The following is a 23,481-nucleotide window of genomic DNA, read 5'->3' as shown; positions in this document are numbered from 1 at the left end:
TGCTTTATAATAACACACTCTTGTAACTAATTCAGTCCTGTGAGAGCAAGGACTCACTCACTTCCTCGAGAATTAATCCAGTCCTGCGAGAGTGGCATGAATCCCTCTTAGTGACCTAATCGCCTCTTAAAGACTCTACCCCCAACACTGCCACACCAGGGACCAGATCTCACGCTGGAATCTTGGGGAGCACTCTCAAACCATATATGGGAGCTCTTTTTGTCCAGAAGTCAGGCTAGCTCTAAGACCTAACCCTCTACTCACATGGTTGATATTTCTGGTGACCAGCCCCTGTCCTGAGCCATCTCATCTCTTAATGTAAACTCAGGTGTGATATAAGGGTGTGATATAAGGTGTGATAAATAATAAAGATACTCCTATTACTCCAAGGATTTTCTCCCTTTCAGAAACCAGGGACAAATACCAGTCAAATTCTTTATTATACCACTGGGTCTCCACTGCCCAAAAGCTCAGAGTATTTACCAAGCTCTCTATACTTTGACTGGGCCAGAATTTCACCTACTCAGTGCTATACAACCTGTAAAATCTCTGTTGAGCTCTTAGCTCCCCAAATATTTCCAGGCCCCTGAAATCTTGCTGCTGTTCCTACAGCTTAGGATTTAGTCCGGGACCAAAGAGAAACCCTATTCAGGCTTTTGGGGCTCCTTTTCTGTAAGTTGCTCTTATCCTGAGCTCAATTCCAGTCTCAGAAATCTCAGACTTTGACATCTTTTTCTTCTGCCTAGTAAGACTGCTGCTCTCTACTTGAGCTCCATTTCCCTGTGACAAGGTTTGGGCCGTGAACCCATTAAAAACTACCCTCAGGAAGAAAACGGGGGTGAGTGTGGTGCTCATCTCGTGTGTTTTCTTTCTTTCAAGAATAGCAGCACATGATGCCTGCCTCCAGGGCCTAGAAAGAATTGTTTTACTGTTCTAGTCCAGCTGTACAGTGATTTTTAAGTCAAACAACAGCTATTTTATTGAAGCCAGAACCATAAGTTGCCAATGTTTCCTCAGTATAGAACTTTATACCATCAAATATCTTTGAATAAAATTTTAAAATGGAGACATTTCTGAAAAAAAAATAAAAGATTTTTAACACACCTTCATTTGTGGCAATTTTAATGGATGTTTTCCAACAGGAAGAATGGAAAGTCTAAGATATAAGAAGCAATAATGAGTAAAGAAAGTGGCAATATTTGGGTTAATATTTGGGAATTAATTTAATTTTAATTAATTAATTAAAAGTGGGAATATTTGTGTTAATCTAAGTATTAATTGCTTGAAATAATAATGTCTCATAACTTTAAAAGTTTGGCAGAAAATATGTGAAAATATAGCAGATCAGTCAAAAAAGGACAACTTCAAATTTTTGTACTGAAATCCTTGTATAGTTGAGAAAAAGAAAAAAGATACCTATAAACTTAATTTTGATAAGTATAGAGGGTAAAAATGTCTAAGGAAACCACTAACAAAGCATAACTTTCAAGTTTAGTAGTAGACAATAAATGAAGTGAGAAAAATATTCAAAAAATCTAGGAAGAATTCAAGGGAGAAAATGAAAAATAGAAAAGGCAGAAAAAATAGAAAATACAAAATATTAGCTTTAAATTCAAGTATATTAGTAATTACAATAAATGTAAACAAACCAAATGTTCCAATTGAAAGATAATAGTTATCAGAATAGAAAAAAAAGGCCCAGCTATTTGACAAACAAACAAACATATCTAAAATACAAGGATAAAGGCTGAAAATAAAAGATGAAAAACAATATTCCAGAAAAATAGCAGAAAGAGCCTGGTATAGGTATAATAAAGTGAAACACAATATAATAGAGGCATAAAGCATAACTAGAGAGTAAGAGGACCACTAAGTAATAATAGATTAAATTCACCAGGAAGATAATAACTATTCCAAGTATGTATTTACCGAGTAAGATCAGATTAACATGTAAAGTAAAAATTGACAGACTTATAAGGAGAAATAGATAAGCTCATGATCACAATGGGAGCTATTACATAATCTTAAATAATTCCATTAGAAGAGAAGAAAGAGGCTAGGCATGGTGGCTCATGCCTGTAATCCCAACTCTTTGGGAGGCTGAGGTGGGATGATTGCTTGAGGCCAGGAGTTGGAGACAAGCCTGAGCAACACAGTGGGACCCTGTCTCTACAAAAAGATAAAAAAATTAACCAGGCATGATAGCACACACCTGAAGTCCCAGCTACTCAGGAGGCTGAGGTGGGAGGATCACTTGAGCCAAGGAGTTTGAAGCTGCAGTGAGCTCTGATGGCACCACTGCACTCCAGCCTGGTGGCAGAGCAAGGAAAAGAAAAAATAAGACAGGACCAAAGTTGATGAGTTAAACATCTCCACCTCACAATGTTAGGAAAAGAGTAGCAGAGTAAACCCAAATAAAGTTGAAGGAAGGAAGTAATAAAGAACAATAATAAAAAGGAATGGATAAAATTGAAAAAAAAAAAGTACAACAGAAAGGTTCAACAAAGCCAAAGGCTGATTTTTGAAAGAACCAATAAATCTAACAAAACTATGTCAAGAGTAATAAAGGAAAGAGGAGAGAGGGAGGAGGAGGGAATAAATACACATATCAGAAATGAAAAGAAGATGTAATAATTAAAGCTGCAGAAATCAAAACAATAATAGAATCTTATTTCACCAATATATTTGAAAGCTCTGCTGGTCAAATTTCCTGAAAAAAAAATTTGTCCAAACTCACTTCAGTAGAAATAAAAAACCTAATCAGTCTTAGCATCATTCAAGAAATATAATCAGATTTCTAACTGGAAATCTTCCCACAAAGAATATGTCAGATCCAGATATTTTACCAGTGGGTACTAACAAATTTTCCAACAACAACAATTTTCATCTCATATGAACTACTCCAGAATCCAGAAAAAGTGGGTATATTGATGAGAATAACATAAACTTGACACCAAAACCTGGTAAGAATGTTTTTTTAAATGCCAGTTTGTACATAAATACAAAAGTCCTAAGCAAAAATTAGCAAACTATATTTAGCAGTCTATTAATAAAAGATAAACCATAACAATTTGGATTTATCTCAAACTATATTTGTTTGCCACTAGAAGTCTCTTGATGTATTTCACCACAGAACAATTTTAAGTGGATAAGTCATATAATCATCTCAATAGATATAAGAAAAGTATTTTAAAAATCTAATATCCATTCATTTATTAGTGTAAGAAAAAATTCTTACACTAGGAGAACCAAATAGAAGGGAACTTCTTTAACTTCAAACACCATTTTTTTTAAACCAGTAGCAAATAATAAATGTATTTAGTATATAATGCGAGCAAGGTTTTTCACTGTTAGGAAAGGGTTTTACAGATATGGAAAGTGGGAAGTCTAGAATGGTACATTTGTTTTCAGATGGGAGTTGGAAGTATCAGTTAAGTATTGCTTAAAGTTAAGAGTGTGTGTGTGTGTGTGTGTGTGTCTGTAACATTCTCTAGCTCTGTGTGCTGAGAAGGCACAGAAGCAGTGATACTCCAGTAGCAATGTACACCCCTAGCAGCCAGGTTTTCCACTGAAGGGAACTAAGCTTCCTTGAGAAGTGGGGAAATGGAGCAGAAAAAGTATACAATGAATCTGGAAGGTTATTTGGTGTCAGAAAAATAAAGCAGCGCTCAAAACATCATGGGGACTTGTCAAAACGATACAATAGTCAACTTAAAGGACTCATGCTGGCCACATCTGGACAATTTGAGCTTTAAAAAGAAAAAAACATGTTAATGGATTTGTGGCATATTGTATGTTTCAAAGCTAGCCACAACAGTATCTTCCATTTCACATATTCTTCTTACAATGTGTCTTTGACCCTCCTCTTGTTGAGAGGCAGGGTCTATGTCCCCTCGTCTTGAACCTGGGGACTTTTGTGGAAGTGATGCTGTAGGACTTCGAGGCCAAATCGTAGATGACAGGGTAGCTTCCACCATGCTGGCTGGAACACTCATGCTGGAGCCTAAGCCACCATGTCAACTGTCTAACTGTCCTGAGGTCCCTGTGCAAACTAGTCCATGTGGAAGAACCACATGGAAAGAGCCTGAGACAGCCTGAAAAGAGAAGAATGCCACATCAGCCCCCAACAGCTTCAGCTACCATCTGACAACAACTGTGTGAGAGGCTTCTGAGCTGAATCCACCTGGCTGAACCCTCCCCAGATATCTGACCTACAGAAATATCGAGAAATAATGCAACGCTTGTTGTTGTTTTAAGTCACTACGTTTTGTGGCAATTCTTTGCATAGCAATAGGTAATCATAATAGATTGGGGACAAAAATATGAGATGACACCATGACAAAACCTCAAAACACCTGACTTTGGTTTTGGTGGCAGGAGGCATTGAGACTGCTGGTGAAAGCTTGCAGGGGCTGTGAGAGCGGGCTGGCAGAGTCCTGAGGAGGCTCTCAGTGGGCACTTAAAGTCAAGGGAGGAAAATGTTCCAAGAAGTTGGATGGAAGAACCCTGGATGTGGGGTAGTGGGTGGTTTAATAATATTGTCACCTCTGGTAATGCAGTAAGATAGGAAATATGCTAAATAAACTTGATGATTCCACTAAAGAGGCTATCAGACAGAACTTAGAAAGTACCACCAGATTAGTTTTTTTGTTTGTTTTTTTCTTTCTTTTTTTTTTTTTTTTTTTGCCTATGTTAAAACATGAGAGGGAGAGGTGAGCTGGAGGACAAACTGTTAAATATAAAGGAGCCAAGACTCACCAGGCTTGAAAGTCAAACTTGTTCCATTTCCAGCCTCTCAAAGGTGGTGAAAAGTTGTCAAATTAAGAAAAGATTTCAGGTCAAAAAGAAAATCCATGAGGGGTACCTATAAGGTTCTTTGTTAAAAACCTCAGAAATATTCAAGGTATCATAGACTCTTCCATCCAGGAAAAAAAGGAGGACTTTTACAGATCTTAAGGTGTGCCTTGCTGCTGAACAACAGGGCTTCTAGCATCTTAAGAGCATTGTCCCATAGGGAGCCCAGGAAATGGTAGGGTTTATCTTGAAGAGATTTGTGAGTTTGGCTTTTCTTGGAAAAAGTATGTATTAGGGTTCTCTGCAGAAACAGAATCAACAGAGAGAGAGAGAGAATGAATGAGTGCGTGTGTGTGTGTGTGTGTATGTGTGTGTTTAAAAATGTGTTTATTTTAAGGAATTATCTCTTGCAATTGTGGAGGCTTGGCAAATCCAGAATCTGATGGGGTAAGCTGGCAGGCTGGAGACCCAGGGAAGGGTTGCAGTTTGAATCTAAAGGCCATGTCTGCTAGCAGAATTCCTTCTTGCTTGGGGGAGGTCCATTTTTGTTCTATTAAGGCCTTCAACTGATTGGATGAGACTCACCCACACTATGGAAGATAATCTGCTTTACTCAAAGTGTCGCTATTAAAATGTTTACCTCATCAAAGAAAAAAAAAAAACCTTCACAGAAACATCCAGTAAAATGTTTGATGAAATATTTGGGCTCTATGACCCAGCCAAGATGACACACTAATCACCACAGAGTACATTGTAAACTGATACACTAAAAGAATGCAAGTTTGTTTTTTCAAAAATTATACAAGCTTAAACTGTAAGTGATAGAGACAGTGCAAAATGAAGAGGTCCCTGAATGTCCTAACTTCTACAAGAAGGAAGCAGGCTGAGAAAACTACTTAACATGGGTTACTTTGTATGGAAAGGAAGAAAGACTCAAAAGGGTGGAGCCAAGAGCCCTGGAGAATTATTCCTGGAGTCGACCGGAGCCCTAATCAAGGGACTAGAAACAAGTACTGGCTAAATTGCAGAACTGCTATGCATCAGCACCTGATGTGTGCCTCACATTTTCTCCCTTTTTAAATGAAAATATCTGTAGAAGTTGTCCTGTGCCGCCCCACTGTTATGCATGGGCCTGTGGAGTGAGTGTTTACAGGTCTTCAGATTCAGAGGAATGGTGTGCGAGGAGCTGAATCCTAGGAACCTCACATGAGAAGTCTTGTCTGAACCTGGACCTGATTTAGATAACAGATAACCTGATTTCGATCCTGGATTTTGTGCTGCTGCACTAATAGATTTGGGGATATTAGAGAGAGGATTATTGCATATGGGAGGGATGTGAATTGTGGCCAGAGGGTGGATCATAGCAGATTGATTTTCCAAAGATGGCAGCAGCAATATCTCTCATCACGCATATCCTTATAACATGAATTTGACCTTTCTTCCATGTAGAGATGGGATCTATTTCCCCTCTTGAATCTGGGCAGGTTGTAACTGTGGCAGATGTGATTCTATATGACTTCTAAAGCTTTGTCATACAAATGACAAATCATCACCTTGCCGGCTAGATTGCTCACGGTGGATCCCCGAACCACCATATAAACAGTGCCCTGAGGTTACCATCTTGTGAAGGAGCCCAAGTGAGCCAACATGTAGAGACCACGTGGAGATGCTCTGAGGCCACACGAAGAGAAAGAGAGACGCTCAACAAGCCCCCAGCTGGCTAGCCCCCCGCTCTCCCAGCTCTGGCTGTTGTCTGACTCTAACCACATGAGGGACCCAGAGCCAGAATCACTTAGCTGAGTCCATCCCAAATTCCCAACCCACAGAAACCATGAAAGATAATAAAATAAGTGTTGTGTCAAACTCCCAGGCTTTTGAATGGTTACACAACAAAACATAACTGGAAAATAATTATAACACACTGAATAAAATAGGAGTGCATGAGTCCCTACATACATAAATGAATAAATAAGTAGATGGACATAAAGGAAAGCTCTTCCTGGTAGAATGCCAGATAAGAAATATAGAAGGAAAGATGGAGTTAAAAAAAAAAAGTCTCAGCAGATACGGAAAACCAACAGTCAAAGTTTGATGAGGAACAGAATATTTACATATTCTGCAAGTGTTTCTCCACACATTACTTTTTAATTACAAAAGGTGGATATAACCTTAACCAAGCAATTAAAGCTAGCATCACCAATATTGGGATGAATCAACATCATATGCCTCTTGATGTGATATACTAAGAAGGACAAAGTGTCAATTCTTTGGTATTCCTGTGAAAAATTTATAACTTGAATCTTAGGAGGAAACATCAAACAAATCCATGTTGAGGGACATTCTACAAAATAACTTGCCTGTACCCTTCAAAAATATTAAGGTCAAGAGACAGAAAGGCTGAGGAACTGTTCCAGATAAAATGAGACTAAAGAGACATAACAACTAAATGCAATCTGTGATCCTGGGTTCGAACCTGGACTAGGAAAAAAAAAATAGATATAAAGACATTATTGGGATAATTGACAAAAATTGAATATGGACTGTGGATTAGGTAAAAGCATCATAACAATGCTGATTTCTACAGTTATACTGTAGGAGGCTGTGTTGACCTCAGGAAATATACGCTTTAGGATTAAAGGCACATGGGGCTTTAGCTTGTTCTCAAATGGTTCCCCCCAAAATACATGTATGTACTGTGTTTATATATGTATAAATATATACATGTATGCCTATATATTTATATATATATGTGTGTACATATAGATACACACACACTATATATGTGTGTGTCTCTGTGTGTGTGTGTGTGTGTGTATATATATATATATGTGAGAGAGAAATGATAAGCAAATGGGGCAAAATGCTAAATCTGAGATAAAGTATAGGAGATCCTTATACTATTCTTGCTATTTTTCTGTGAGTTTGAAATGATATCAAAATAAACATGAGCAGGATGAGAGCACCTGCTATCTCACTTCTATTTAATATTGCACTGGAGGTCCTAGCTAGTGCAGTAAGGCAAGAGAAAGAAATAAACAATATGAAAATTTGAAAGAGAGAAACAAAACTGTGATTATTCACAAATGATATGGTTGTGTAGAAAAGCCAAATGCTCTGTGAATACATTACTAGGATAACTAATATCTTTTAATAAGGTTGTTAAATACAAAATCAACATGCAAAATGTAATTGCTTATCTGTATAACAGTAACAAAGAGAAAATGTAATTTAAAATTGATACCACTACTGGCATCAAAAATATAAAGCAAGAATGAATATAACTAAAATGTGTAAGGTCCTCATGGAGAAAAAATTATGAAACTTTGTTGAAGGGGCTAATTAATTAATAAGAAGGTCAGTATTGTAAAGGAGTTTATTCTCCCCCAAAATGAACAGTGTATTAACTTGTTATAGAAAGTATATGAATGAGTGTGTGTAATTTGACAAGCAGGTTCTATAATTTATGTGGAAACCAAAGGACCAGAAATAATGATGGCCACCCTAAAGAAATAGCACAAGACACTGCTGGTGAGAGCAGAAGCTTGTGCAACTCTTTTGGGAAACAGTTTGGCTTTATTTAATACAGCTGAAAATGCCGTACTCTAGGAACCAGACACCCCACTCCCAGGAGCAACCTCTCATAGAATCTTTTCCATATTTGCACTGGGAGACATGAACAAGAAAGTTCTAGCACCTCTGTTCATAATTTAAAATTATAAACAATTTTAAGATCTAGCAACAGAGGAATGTATAAATTCTAAATTGTGATATAGTCTACAGTGATAAAGAATATAGCAATTATCCTATAATAATATATAGAATATAAAGAGATAGATCTGGAATACTATACCCAGAGTGAAAATGAATGAATTACAGTTACATGTAATAAAATTGATGAGTCTCAGGCACATAATATTTGGCAAAAAGAAGCAATGACAAAAACAAGTAAAATTATTATACATAAATTATACATGGATAATCACTGTATTGTTATTTTATATGCCACATATACTTTATAACTACTTTGCTTCTATTCATAAGTTAATTTTAAATAATTTTAAAGAAATTTTAAATATTTATTATGGCATTGATTATAATAATAAAGTACCTTTAAATGTCCCCCAAAAGTAATTGACTGAAATAATGACAATACAATCATGTCATAGCATACTAAACAAATATTTAAAACAATGTTACACCTTTACAAATATTTTGTTGAAATAGAAAGTTGTTCACAATATGCTGTTAAGGGAGGAGGAAAGCAAGTTCTAAAAATAGAATGTACTGTAGGTTTCCAGTTTCTAATCTGAATAAATAAATAAATGAGATAAATATGGAAGAATATAGACTAAAAATTGAGGTTTATTTCTGACTAGTCAGTTGGAATAATTTTTCTTTCCTTCGTTATTATCTGTATTTTCTAATATTTTCCCACAATAAACAGATACTACTTTTATAATGGGGGTAAAATCTGATGCTAACCAGAGACCAGTGCATGCCTTTCCGTCATGTGCTCAGTTCATTCATTCATTCACTTGCTTATTCACCATTCCGTGTGTATTTGCAGAGGATCTACTGTGTGTGAGAGGCCCTCTGCTTGGTGATAGCGAAAGAAAGATGAACAAGGCATTGTCCCTACTCTGGAGCAGTTCAGTCTCTCAGTCTCTGTGTAAATAATAACCTAGTGCCATATGCACTATTATGACACAAAACGACGACACTCATTAGTATGAGAATGTTTACTTCCTCTTCACTTCCTTCAGTCCACCAAAGAAAATCCCATAATTTCTAACCCAATTTCTATCCCCCTTGTCCTAATCTACTTGGACTGCTATAACAAAATGTCATAGACTGGGTGGCTTAAGCAACAGACATTTGTTCTCTGCCGAGAACAGCTCGGTCGGGGAGACCCTAACCTAGCAGCGCTAGAAGAATTAAAGACACACACACAGAAATATAGAGGTGTGAAGTGGGAAATCAGGGGTCTCACAGCCTTCAGAGCTGAGAGCCCTGAACAGAGATTTACCCACGTATTTATTAACAGCAAACCAGTCATTAGCATGGTTTCTATAGATGTTAAATTAACTAAAAGTATCCCTTAAGGGAAACGAAGGGACGGGCAGAATTAATTGCAGCAGGAACATGCCCTTAAGACACAGATGGCTCAGGCTTTTGTTTGTGGCTTAAGAATGCCTTTAAGCGGTTTTCCGCCCTGGGCGGGCCAGGTGTTCCTTGCCCTCATTCCCTTAAACCCACAACCTTCCAGCTTGGGCGTTATGGCCATTATGGACATGTTACATTGCTGCAGAGATTTTTTTAATGGCCAGTTTTGGGGCCAGTTTATGGCCAGATTTTGGGGGGCTTGCTCCCAACAGTTCTCACAGTTTTGAAGGCTGCAAAGTCCAAGATCAGGATGCTGACCAGCTTGATTTCTGGTGAGGGTGCTCTACCTGGCTTGTAGATAGCTGTCTGCTTGCTCTGTCTTCACATGGTAGAGAGAGGGAGAGAGTTCTCTGTGCCTCTTCTTATGAGGCCAACCATCCTGTCAGATAACCCCCCTCCTTACGACCACAGTTAACCTTAATTACCTTCTTGAAAGTCTTAATGCCAAATATAGTCACATTGGGGATTAGAATTTCAACATACGAATTTTAGGCGGGGCACAATTCAGTTCATAGCACCCCTTTTTCCTTCTTTTCTCATTAAGAGGCAGGTTGGCTCACATATTAAAAGGATGAAAAGGAGGTTGCATGGAAAAAAGGAAGGGAGTTGCAGAGAAGCTGGGAGTGAAGAGATTAAGACAATTTTGGGAGAGATGCTGGGGACAGCTGGGGATGTGATGCTGGGGACAGCTGGGCGTGTGAGGGAACTGGGGGAGAAAAGAAGGGATGTTATCAAATGTCTCCATGAATTAGGTATTTGTATCCTAGTAACCATTTTTGAAAAAAGCAAGGAAAGAATTTGTGTTGTTAAAATTATTTTTGACCTTGGGGCTATGTTCCTTCAACCACATTATTCTTCTGAGGCTGGACCTTATGAGTTCTGAATTTAATGGTTCCACAATAATAGTCATCATGGGCACATGGAGGGCAGAGCTATCTGAAACTTCATCACTAGGCATAAAAGTAACAGGAATAGTGTGAAGAAATACATCAGAATATAAGGAATTCATTACTGTAGTTAAATGTATTAGAAAAGATCCACTTTTTATCCTGGAACTCAGTTTGCCCCGTGCCTGGACTTGTCCCAGAGTTAGAACCAAATTCTAGAAGGCAGAGAAGGCCTCGACTCACTGGAAAACAGCAGAGGGAATTTCTTACTGACCTTTTCTTAAACTCAAGTGACAGAAAAATAATGTGCATCTGATAGTTTAGGATGATTTGTTAGCTTTAACATGGAGTCTCCACTATTTCATAGGAGACTCAATTTACTTATTTGGTTTTTTTTTTTTACAATCAGGTTTTTTTTAATACAACCAGTTTATTTTCCAGGTGATGGGTTCTTTGACTTCCTTGAGTCCAGAACTATAAGCCAATAACTTTCTGTTTATTATAAATTAGTCTCAGATAATTCTGTTATAGTAGCACAAAACAGATGAAGACAAGTAGGTGCTGCAGGAGAATGTTAGGCCCAATGTACAGTATTAGGCCTGAGGTTTCAGGAGGAGATGTAGATGAGGAGCACTGCAGGAGGAGCACTGCAGCAGGAGCAAGGACTCGGGGGAGCCAGAGCTGTGGGAGCACCTGGAGAGAGAAGTTGGGGCAGGAAAGGGTGATGGGGCAGGATGAAGACTCCTCAGGGGCACTTAGATCCACCACCCACTCTTCCTTATTGAGGCTCACAGTCCATCTGCTCTGGGGTGGGCACTCAGGGTGACTCATTTCCAATGTGGGATGAGGTTGCTGATGAAGCGAATGTTTGTTCCGCTCCTCACTAGGTTTTGCTGAAGGTCTGTCCTGCCCAAAGCAGGGTGGAGATAACTGTGAACATGGAGAGCCTGGCTTAGTTTTCCTATTGCTGCTGTAACAAATTACCACGGACTGGGTGGCTTAAGTATAAACTTACTGGCCAGGCATGGTGGCTCACGCCTGTAATCCCAGCACTTTGGGAGGCTGAGGTGGGCGGATTGCTTGAGGCCAGGAGTTCAAGACCAGCCTGGCCAACATGGCAAAACCCTGCCTCTACTAAAAATACAAAAAAATAGCTGGGCATGTTGCTACAAGCCTGTAGTCCTAGCTACTTAGAAGGCTGAGATGGGAGAATCACCTGATTCCAGGGAGTTTGAGGCTATAGTGAGCAGAGATCACATCACTTTACTCCAGCCCGGACAGCAGAGGGAGGCCCTGTCTCAAACAAGCAAACAAACAAAACCCAACAAATACCCAGAAACTTATTATCTCACTTCTGGAAGTCAGAAGTTGAGATCAGTTTCACTAAGCTAAAATCTACATCATGTAGATTGTGAAAGCTACATCATGACCATGAGGATTATTTTTGGTAGCTCTAATTCCATGATAAAGCCCACAAGTCCCCTCTGTTTCTTGCATAAACTCGTAGAATCCACGAAGTGCTGTTTGTTGCTGAGCAGGAATCCCTGGAACTGTGCCCTAGAAGTTTCACAGCTGAGACAGGGTCTCTGGGGTTCATTTCTGGTTGGATGCTTGGGGTTTGGAGATCACCTGCCCTGGCTGTGTTTTGTCCTCTGAATGGTTTTTCTCCAGGTACTCCCTTGACCAAAGGGGAGACTCCAGGGCCCTTGACCAAAGGGGAGACTCAGGATTGGTACTCTAGGACTCTGGCTGGCCAGCCCATCTGTGACCGGCCTTTCTGAGCCAGGATGGCCACAGGTGACATTGCCCCTACTGATGTTGTTAAAGGAGGCTCTGACCTTGGTTATCAGAGCAAATCCAGCGTATGTTTACCGTGCAATGTACATTTTTGTCCTGTTGTGTTCAGAGAATCAGAAGTCCTTATGGGGTAGATAAGGCCTGGTTCTGACGCCCAGAGTCCTGTTTATGAGTGGCTCATGAGAGGGGCCTCTGTTCTGTCTAGCAGGGTCTTCCTTGGGAGCTCTTAAGTAACCAGTGTCCTGGGTTAACCGGAATACCTCCCTCCCTGGCCTTGTTCTACAATAGAGGCTTTGCCGTGTGCCTACACAACCAAAAAGGAAGCTGTTTCTATTCCCAATCAGATCTGGAGATGATATTGAACATAATTCTCTATGTTAGGAATGTAGAAAATACACAGCATGGAGGGGATAATGTGGGGCATTTTGTGGTGACTGTAGATTCCTGGAAGTTATTTATAATAGTTGGCCTATGGGGCTGCCAACAAGTGCAGAGGCAGTTCTTCTTTCTACATGCTCTAAGGGAGAATCTATTTCCTTGCACTTTCTAGTTTCTGGAGGCTACCTGCCTTCTTGGCTTGTGGCCCCACATCACTCTGACGTCTACTTGTCTACTTCTGTCATCATGTCTCCTTCTCCGACTGTGACCCTCCTGCCTCTCTTTTAGAAGGACCTGTGATTGTATTGAGCCCTCCTGGATCTTGCAGGATAATTTTTCCATCCAAGATCCTTACCTCACTCACTTCTGTAAAGTCCGTTTTGCAGTGTAAGAGAACATATGTATAGGTACCAGGCCTAGGATGTGGATATCTGTGGGGCCGTTATTCCATCTATTGTGAGGCATGCCCTGTTCCATCCCTGACCTGGAGTGTACTTGGTTTTCCTTCCCACAGTAAAGGCATGCAGATTATTGAAGGGTTGTGTCCTACGGGGATGGATGCCAGGAATGAGCTCACTGGAATGCTTTCAGTATGGTTCCTTTGAGAATATGACTGTGAGCGAGGAGTCTGATGATTTCCGCCCTATCACCAAACCTGTGGTGCTGTAAACTAAAGCTTGACTGGCAATTGGAGAAGGATCATCTTTCCCTTTCTACTTTCTCATTTCACACTGATTTATTGCAAGTTGTAGCTCACAGTCTTAGCAAATGAAACAATTTGTTGCTCACTCCATCGCTGTTCATTCCCCAGAGCTGAGAGGCCTGCTTAGAAAAATGTTCTTTTAGGGAACAAATGCAGTGTGGAGGGGCTTGGCTGCTGCCAGTGTGGAGGGATCCACACTCCACACTCAGCTCTGGCCCTCAGTCTTTCCAGGGGATATTCCACGGCAGAAGTAGGACGCTTAAGGCCTCATGAGTCATGGGTAAGAATAATCCTGAAACTCATGATGTGGGTCCCTCTCTGACAAGGTGACCACAGAGATTAGGGCCAAAGTCAGGGCCCCAGACATCTCACTTCCTCCCCTTTCATGCCTCACTCATACCACTGGGGGACGGGGTCAGCACATTCTTCCAAAGAGGTGCCTTGTAACAATTGCTTTAAAGGAACATGTTGACAAGAAGGTTGCTAAGATTTCGATGGAAAGATGTTGAAAGAAACCGTGTGAAGAGAGCATCCCATCAATGATCAGCCAGTGAGACACAAGGAGGGGTCAGTCCGTGTGTCTGAGCCCATCCTTTTCTGCATTCGCTCTCCCGGCAAAGAAGAATATCGGCCCTATCCAGGGCCGAGCCTCATCTTCAGTCCCACCTTCTAGATGTGAGTCTGGCCCATGTCCAGTCTGGGCACAGCCTACTGTGGTCCAGGCTTGCGCAGCATTTGGCACTGGGGCAAGATCCCATATCAGAGTCTGTGGGTGTTAGAGGGAAAGACCACGGAGAGCCCACTCAGGGCCTGTGTGAGTCTGAGTCTCTGGCCCAGCTCAGCCTGCCAGGTCTCTGCACTGGGGTGTGGGGCCTGGGTATAGCCCTTAGTTAGGGGTTTCTTGGCCCTCCTCTGTCAATGTGCCTTGTTTATCTTGGGGCTCCATGGTGAAGGGTCCCTGTTGTCGGGGCAGGGTCCCTGGCCATAGGTCCACCTAAAAGTGGCACAGCCACACAGCAATTTCTAGCTGGAGGAGATGAGGTTCTCTTTCTAGCTAAACTCATATGTTCTCCAGGACACATGCAAGATATTATGCCTGTGTCTTATCTTCTTCCTCACCACAATCTCCTTGAAGGCAGAAACTAGATTTGCTTCATTTAAGCTTATTTACTTGTCTTTGTCTTCAAGGCACCTAGGCTAGTGTTGAGCACACAATGCATGTCACGTGACTGAGGATTACACGTGGGCCCTGAGAACTGCTCCATTGTGAATGTCCCTGAGCAGGCAGCGAAGGTGCTGAGGTGGGCACCTGGAGTCCAGCAAGGTGTTTTTAACCTGCTGTAACCTTGAATTCCAGCATGAGTGGGGAGGCATTTCTGCGGCTCCTAACGGTGCTATCCAGGGCCGCAGTGCTCTTGGCTCATGCTGCAGCTTCAGAAGATGCTGATTTGCTAGTTTTCCCTGAACTGTTTTTTCTTCTCTCTGAGATCAGTGATTCCCACCGTCGGTTTTACAGCACCCCAGGGTGTCTCCAGCTGTCTCAAGGGCTGGCACAGAAGTCTCAAAACCATTTGCTTCAAACAAAAAACAAATACACAGAATACAGCAGTTTTAGCTGAATTTGGAGGCAGGAAAGAAAAAAAGTCTAACAAAATCCAAACAAGCAAATTGGGTGTCACACTCCAAAAAGCTGGACTCGCTGCCTTAGAAAAGAGAAATGGTTACACAAAGTCACGTCTTCATGTACTGGTTTGGATCCGTGTTCTGAGGACTGCTGCACAAATCCAATCAGACAGGACGCTTAAAAAAAAAAAAACCCGAAACATTTTATTGCTTTATTTTCCTTTCCCATAGAAAATAAATATTACACAGATGAATAGCAATATACAAAAAACCATTCAACAGAGTTCTGAACCAGCAACTCTGAAGGGTGAGTCTTCAACGAAGCAGAACTTTACCATTTGCTGAGCCTCTGTTTAGGAGAGGGTTTAGAACCAGAAATGCCCTGTCTGGGTTGGGGATCTTTTAGCTCCTTGATCAGGCACCAGGGAGGCAGTGTTGTCTAATTATCCTCATCTATAAAATGGAGATGATAATAATCATACCTCATAAAGTTAGGAGAATTCAATAAATTAAAATTTATGAAAATCTTAAAACAGAGGTTGGTGCATAGTAAGCATTATGTCAGTGTGTGCTCAAGAAAGCATTGGGAGCCTGCAATGTACCAGGCCTGGTGCTAGCTTGGTAGGTTCCTGGGCTGACTGTTTGTGTCTGGGTTGGTTTTTGTCTCATAGGGAAGACAGAGAAGGAGACACCTGAATAAAATACCTTGTGATGAATGCTAGTTCCCCACAGAGTCATGTGAGGATTCTTAATTAAAACATGGATTCTGGTGCTGGCATTTGTTGTTAATATTTTGGGCAAGTCATTTATCTTTTCTGAGCCTTTGGGTATTCACAGGGAATGCTAGGTTCCAATAACAAATAGTCTCCATGATTTCAGTGGCTTCACACAATGGACATTTACTTCTTGCTCCAGGAACAATTCTGAGCAGGTGTTCAGATTGTCAAGGCAGCTGTCTTCCACATGGCCATTCGTGGATCCAGGCTGACAATGGCTTCCAAGATTACCCTGGGGATCAGCATCCCAGGCAGCCGGAGCAAGAGCATGGAGGCTCCCCCATGCCTGTGGGACGTTCTCATGGGCCAGACCTGGAGGTGGCACTGCTCACTGCCATGCACATTCTCATGGAGGAGACTTAATCACATGGCCACATCTAATGGCAAGAGAGGCTGGAGATAGCGAACAGCTCTGTGTCCAAACAAGAACAGGTTTTACTAGACATCTCAATTTGTTTATTTCTAAAATATGAGGTGGTATCCCTGCCATGCTGACTTACACGGGTTGTTGGGGGAACCATGCACTATAATGGATATCAAGTCACCTGGGATGGAAGGAGCTGTGTGGACAAGGGAGTTGTTGGCTGGGAACAGTGGCCTTGGCCTGCAGAAGAGTGGGGCAGGGGTTCTGCTGGTGTCTCAGCAGCACAACTCAATTCAAAAAGTGTTCACAGAGGAGCGTGCCAGGCTCTGCCCTGGGTGCTAGGGATGTAGTCATCCCATGACAAGCTCAGGGAGGAGGAATCACAGTTCAGCGTGACATGTAGCATGAGAGCTTGCATGTGGTGTCGAATCCAGACGCGGTGGTCAGGACATCCTTCCCAAGGACAGGGCATCTAACCAGAGAACAGAAGGAGATGGCCCAGTGGGGCAGGGTGGGGCAGGGGCCAGGTGGAGGGAGGGTGTTTAAAGCAGAGAAAATTCCATGAGAGCAAGAGAGCATGGCTTGAGTTAGGAACAAAAACTCAATATGAGCAGATGTTAAATGGAGGAGAAGAAGCCAAGAGTTACCAGAAAGGTTGGCAGAGCTTGTAGGCCATAGTGAGGCCTAATGGGCAGCTCACCTTTCTGTGGGAAATCCCCCCTTTGTTAAAGGTGACTTATTTCTTAGAGCCATAATAGTGTGTCTTTGAAATTGTTACGGAAACAGCAAGAGGGGACATGGCATTTTACCTGCAACCACATTCCACCTGTTCCACTGTGTACACCTGAACCAAATCCCTGAAATGATAACACTTATCAAGGTTATTCTGTGGTGCTTGGGCTAACCCTGATGACCAGGTTCACCCTCCTTCCCAACATAGGCATCTGGCTTGGAGGAGCTAAATTAATAAGATTTGTGTCTTAATAACTTGCAGGTGAGTGCCCAGTGTTCCTTGGGGGTGGGAAGCCAAGCAAGGCCAAGGCTGCCATGTGGGGTGGCTGACCCCTGGATATCAGGGGGGTTACTTGGACTCTTTTGTCTGGGCCCAGAATTGACATAGCTGTCTGGGCCAGGCACCCTGCTGGTTATCACTCCATAGCTCAGTCTGTGTGTGATGTGTCTTTTGCACCTTCACCTTCATGTTTCCAAATAAGGAAAAGTGCAATGGAGAGAAGGGGAGAATATTTCTATAATGTGAATGACTCTTGCTACTCTGAGTTCCCTCAGCTGTTCAGTTTATAATTCTTATAGGATCAGTTCAGGCCTGCATTTCCAGGGATGATGCTTGGCTGTTTAACAGCATTTTATGTCTGGAATGCTTATAACATCGGTCAGTTATGCAGTGAATGCACTTATGGGTGTGTGTGTGTGTGTGTGTGTGTGTGTGTACACGTGCACATCTCAGAGCAAAAGAGATCACAACTGAGAGGCTGAGAGAACAGACACTGGCTAGCCCTGCCTGATTTGGGGGTGAACCCTGGTCTTCATGAGGAGTCAGAAGCAGTTTCTAGTGAAAGTAGCATGTCTCTTTGAGGCATAAAGCTTCACCAGTCTTCTTGGAACCTTGACTAATTTTTGATTCTCTGGTTCCATGAGCCAAGCATTATACTAAAATATACCCCTCAATTTGCAGAGAAGTGGAAGGTGTTCAAACACAGAATCAAAATAAAGGATAATTTTCCATCTTCTGCTGAAACCTCTCATTTTCCAGCAATGTAGAAACAAAACAAGAGACGAGAGGACATGTGGGGACTGAGAATGAGTGCATTAGCAGTCTTTTGGAGATACCCACACAGACCTGATGAGCTTCTCAGGACAGAGGGCTGCACTCAGGATTCATCCTCATCCACAGTGATTGTGGCTGTGTGGACTTACACAACTGGCAGCTTGCTGCCAGTTGCCGCTCTGTTGGGTAGGAAAAAGGAGGACTTGGAAACTGCCTCCGGAGAGCCTTTTGGAGGTGAAGGAAGTTGGCTGGCAACTCTGTCCACTCAAGCTCAAAACTTCAGCCCGTTCACCAGCTCCTGTTGGTCCAAGTCTGAATTGTCCAGGTTGGCCGACAAGTTCTGCTCCTTCTCCTGTTTCGCATTCATCCCATCTCCTCCTGCTACTCCCATGTGGTCAAAGTCCTCATCCCCAGCTCCCTGCAAAGGCCTCCCCATGAGCCTCCCTGACCCTGCCTGCATAGCGCCACTTCACAACTCGTCCGCAAATGTTATCTTCTCACCACTGGCCAGCTCAGTTGGGGTTGGAGTGTGTGTGATAAGCTAATCCACGTGGAGATCTAAATGGCCTCCAGGGGTCATTAGGAACCCTCACTTTTTTTCTGCCCAAATTTCAAGACCATCCGTGGGGGATCCTTACCCTACCTCTCCAATAGGAGTCGCACCCTAACCCAGCAAGTCCCCTTCGTTCTGGCTGTACATTTGGGCTTTCCCTATTTGTGAATGGATTCTCCTCTTCCTCCAAGACCCAGCTGAGATCTCATCTCTGCAAAGACTTCTCAGTTCCCTCCTGTTCACCTTCTTTCCCTCAACACTCAAAACCCACCCCTCATTGTCCAGTGCTTGATAATGAGGCTACCCCCTTGGTTTCATGAATTGCTTCATCTCCCCAGCTGTATAGTGAAGAGAATAAAAATAGCCACAGTGTATTGATCATTTACCGTAGGCCTCATAAATATCATGGCATTTAGTATGTCCAATAACTGTGTGTGATAAGTATCAATGTCTCATTGTAGTTAGAAAATCACAGTGCTAGGTATCAAAGCTGTTCATCTGTTAAAGTCGTGCTTTCCTCAGGGCCCTCAGTGTGTGTGTCCCGTGAGAGGTGCTCAGTAGACAGTTGAGAGAATAACAAGCTGCTCCGTCTCCCCCATGACCCTAGCACCCAGCACAGTGCTGAGCATGTAATACATGCTCAACTAATATGTCTTTGACAGACATATTTGAAGGCATAAAGAGCTAGGAGAATATTGACAGTTCCCACTGGCTGATGGAGTAAACCAGGGCTTCAGGAGTCAGTCTAGAAGTCCAGATTCTGGTCCGAGTCCTGCACTGGTCAGCTGAGGGACCTCGGGTCCTGCTCACCCCAAGACTCAATTTCTTCATTTGCATGACAAGGGCTTGTGCACAGGTTCTGTGAACTCTGGAATTCTTGATGCTTTTACTCATTCCCTGAAGAGGTTAATTAGGACGAAGTGCTCTTTAACTGGCAATTACACTGCTGCGATATAGCTTGTTTAGTGAGGCCGGCATCATTGCCAAGGCCAGGACGGTTTCTGATGATCATTTGCCAGTCTCAGGAGAACAGAGACCGTGAGGAGACTGCTTAAGATGAATAAGAAACTCCCCCCACTCACCATCAAATGAGAAAGCTATGGATCCAGAGCTGGGGAACACCACTGGGCAGGATGGTTTCAATGCCCCTAATTTAGCTTGCTCTAATTCTCCCTAAGCAGCTCTTTCTCAGTGGGAAACAAAGAAGCTGCCTTTGAGTGGGAACTCTGTGTATCCTTGTGAGGTAGAAGTCAGGCACAGGCTAACCAGACATGGACTTGGGCAGTGCAGGGGGAAACAACCCAGCCCTCATCAAGCATCACGCTTGGCTTGGCCAGCTCTGTTTGGGGTGGAATGTGCGTGATAAGCGAATTCACATGGAGATCTAAATGACTGCCAAGGGTCATTTGCATTTCTAACCAAAGGGATACATAATTAATGGTAGCTCTTGAGACATCAAACTGACATATCGACTGTGGGCCTGTTTTGCCAGAACAGCGGAAAGGCTGGGGCACCCGTCTGCTGGGAAGACTCCATGTAACAGGGTTAAAAAGGTAAAGTTTCAGAGGACTTTCTGATCCATGAAGTTAGTGGTGCATGTGTCTGTTCAGGGACTCCTCATCTAAAGCATTTACAGACATATTAGCAAGATTAGGTGACTCCAAAGGGCTGTGAGGAGGACTGAGTACAGTGAGGCCAAATTCAGTCCTGAAACCTAACATCTGCCAGTGCATCTGAGTGGGTGCCCAGTGGGTGGCCTCACTCACTAGCTGGGCCAGGCAGCGGGATGGCTGCCTTTTGTGTGCAGAGGCCCATGGGGGCTGTCTGTTGGTTGTGATTTTCCTGGCTTTAGCGCTATACGTTTGAATCACTGCAGTATTGTACAACCCACCCAGGGGCGGGGTGGGGGGTGCATTTCTGGAGGGCCCTCTATGCACCTGTTAGTATTGCAAGTACGGGTCCAAAGAGACGCAGCTTGGAAGAAGCACACGTTCTGTGGTGCCCCTGTCTACAGCAGGCTTCTCTGCGCGAAGTTGTTTTAGCCCTCTGTTCTGCAAGTTACAGCATCTTGAATGAGGCAAAGTGACACACGGGCAAATGGTGTGTATTCCCTACAAACTCCTCAGAGTTGACACCGCTCTCGCCTTTCTTCTTGCATTGCCAGAGGCTGTGACTCTGGCTCTTCACTCTTCAGTCATCACAAAGCCTTTTCCCTTTATCATGTCAGACCTTGGAAAACCCACAGTCATGAAAATGATTTATCTTCCTAAATTGTCAGTGATCTCCCATTAGGCTTAGGATAAAATCCAATTTCTTCCCAGGCCTCCAAGGGCTTGTGTGATCTCACCTCTGCCTGCCTGTCTCCGTTCAAGCCCGTCCATCTCTCTCTCCAGCTTCCCATGCTCCAGACACGCTGACCTGTCCTCCTTCTGCCCCTCAAGCAGGACACACCTGCTCCCACCCTGGGCCTGTGCACATGCTGTGCTGTCCCCTCTCCCTGAGCGGCTCCCCTCGGATCTTTTGTGACTGCTGCTGTCTCATCTGGTGTCTCCCAGATGTTAACTTCCCAGAGAGACCACCACTGACGTTCCTGTCACAAGGACACCCGTCTTCCCTGCCCACCTGTGACTTTGTTTTAGCTTCTTCACAGCAATTGTTATTATGGGAAATTGTCTTATTTATTGTTTAATGTCTGTACAGTGGACTAGGATGTCGGCTCTAAGACAAAAATGTCCTCTCAGACTTGGTATTTTAAAATGTGTTTCAAATTTACAATTGTAATAAATGGGTAACATAATAAATAATAAATTGTATATTAGGTCCCTGGACTGCTGTTGAATGAATGAATGGCAACAATGATAGGAGTAGTTGCTGTTTATTGAGTACCTGTTATGTGTCAGGCTCCACATTTAATCATCACACCAAACCCAAGTGACCAGTGCTGTCAACCTCACTTTACATATAAAAACATATTAAAAAAAACCAAGATTCACAAATGTTACATGATTTTCACTTTTGTAATAGGCGTAACAGCCTGGATTCAAGCCCAGGTCTGACTGGTTCAGAAACCCATGCCCTTTCTCTAAAGAAGAAGTAGGTAACTTGCTATGTCATCCACTATCTGGTGGTTTTCCCTGCTGGCTGGTTTTCCCTTTCTCTCCCACTCTGCACCCACGCAGCTCCAGGCATGGATGCCAGTCCATTCAGATTTCTCCTATGTCTGTCCTGTGTTAGTCTACTTGGGCTGCCATGACAAAGTATTGCAGACTGGGTGGCTTCAACACCGGAAGTTTATTTTCTCACGGTCCTGGAGGCTGGAAGTCTGAGCCAAGGTACTGGGAGGATTGGTGAGGCCTCTCTCCTGGGCTTGCACACAGCTACCTTCTTGCTGTGTCCTCACATGGCCTTTCCTCTGCACGCATGCCGGGAGAGAGACGGCTGGCGTCTCTTCTTATAAGGACACCAGTCCTATCAGATTTGAGCCCTGCCCTCCTGACCTCATTTTACGTTAATTACCTCCTTGAGAATTCTAACTCCAAATATAGTAACACTGGGGTTAGGATTTTAACATGAATGTGGGGTAGGGGGGACTCGGGGGTGGCAGGGGCACAATTCAGTCCCTTACACATTCTGTGGAAACACTTTTTCCGATGCCTTAATTATACCCAACTGATTAAAATACAAAAGTAATATTAACAGTTCCCAATCAGTGCTTGAGGGCTAGAAAACATTGAAATATGTGATCCCTGCCCCCGAGGCACTTAGCGTTTCAAATCTCGGACTCATTGAGTTGTGTGCTTTATTAATGATAATTGGGGCTTTTAGAATGAATGCTGGATGCCCGTGTTGAAGCCCCTCAGCCCTGAAGGGCCACTGGGGCAGACACATGCTAAGAACGTGTCAATTGGATAATCAATTAGCTTAATTTAAAAAGTGGCAGCCACTGAGATAGGAAATGTGAAAGATGCTACTGAAAATTGTTTAGTCTGCAAGTCACATCAGAGAGATGTCTGCATCAGCATTATATCATGATTTGGCCTCCAGAATTTAGGCAGAATGTGAGAAAGCTGGAGAAGGTCCAGAAATAAACAACAGGATGAATTAAGGGAGAGAAAATAATGCTATGAGAAAAGGTGATAAGAGTTGCATTTTTTATTTTTTAAATCCCAATGCCCAAGAGATTGTGGCACATAGGTAATTACTATCTTCTAGGGTCGTTAAAGGAAGAATGCTGACCAACTGTTTAATATTTTCTTGGGAAATTTAATAGGAGTCATGGGCTCAAGTCCAGCATAAGAGAAGTGGAGGGGGCAAAGAAGCAATCATTTTGATTTTTAGTGTGATTAAATGCTGAATTAATTCCCAGCAAGGGAATTGCACTATCGGTGGTCCTGTCTTGACAGCTATTTGTCTGGAATGGTTCATGTGCATAGACTCAAGCCTCTCCCACCTGGTAGAATTCTTGCTCCTCATAGATAATTTTCCCCACAGCTATATGTCACTGTGGGGAACTCTGAGGGCCTGGGGATCTATACCCTTATTCTGCTTTGCACAGTGTCTCCTGAAGTTTCCACATCTTTGGCACTTAGAGAGCTTTACATCATCTAATTCTGCCTTCTGGCATCTCTTCTCAATTGCATCACAGTGCTCTTGGGAC

General features: G+C 42.6%; 1 protein-coding gene across 3 annotated transcripts in view, besides 1 other annotated feature; it reads left to right on the top strand.

The window, feature by feature from the left end:
• Positions 1–23,481, top strand: part of FSTL4 (follistatin like 4) — a 645,613-nt gene that overhangs the window by 296,662 nt on the left and 325,470 nt on the right. The window lies entirely within an intron of this gene.
• Positions 20,086–20,586: an enhancer, noted in NCBI's record as "H3K4me1 hESC enhancer chr5:132860511-132861011 (GRCh37/hg19 assembly coordinates)". NCBI's record gives its function as "activates a minimal SCP1, AML or CMV promoter by ChIP-STARR-seq in naive H9 embryonic stem cells {active_cell/tissue: H9 hESC(naive)}" and the evidence as "EXISTENCE:reporter gene assay evidence [ECO:0000049][PMID:30033119]".

Source organism: Homo sapiens, chromosome 5 (genome assembly GCF_000001405.40).
Source record: "Homo sapiens chromosome 5, GRCh38.p14 Primary Assembly".
Classification (NCBI taxonomy): domain Eukaryota; kingdom Metazoa; phylum Chordata; class Mammalia; order Primates; family Hominidae; genus Homo; species Homo sapiens.
The sequence above is the reverse complement of the archived record's forward strand: the minus strand, read 5'-3'. Positions and strand labels throughout refer to the sequence as shown.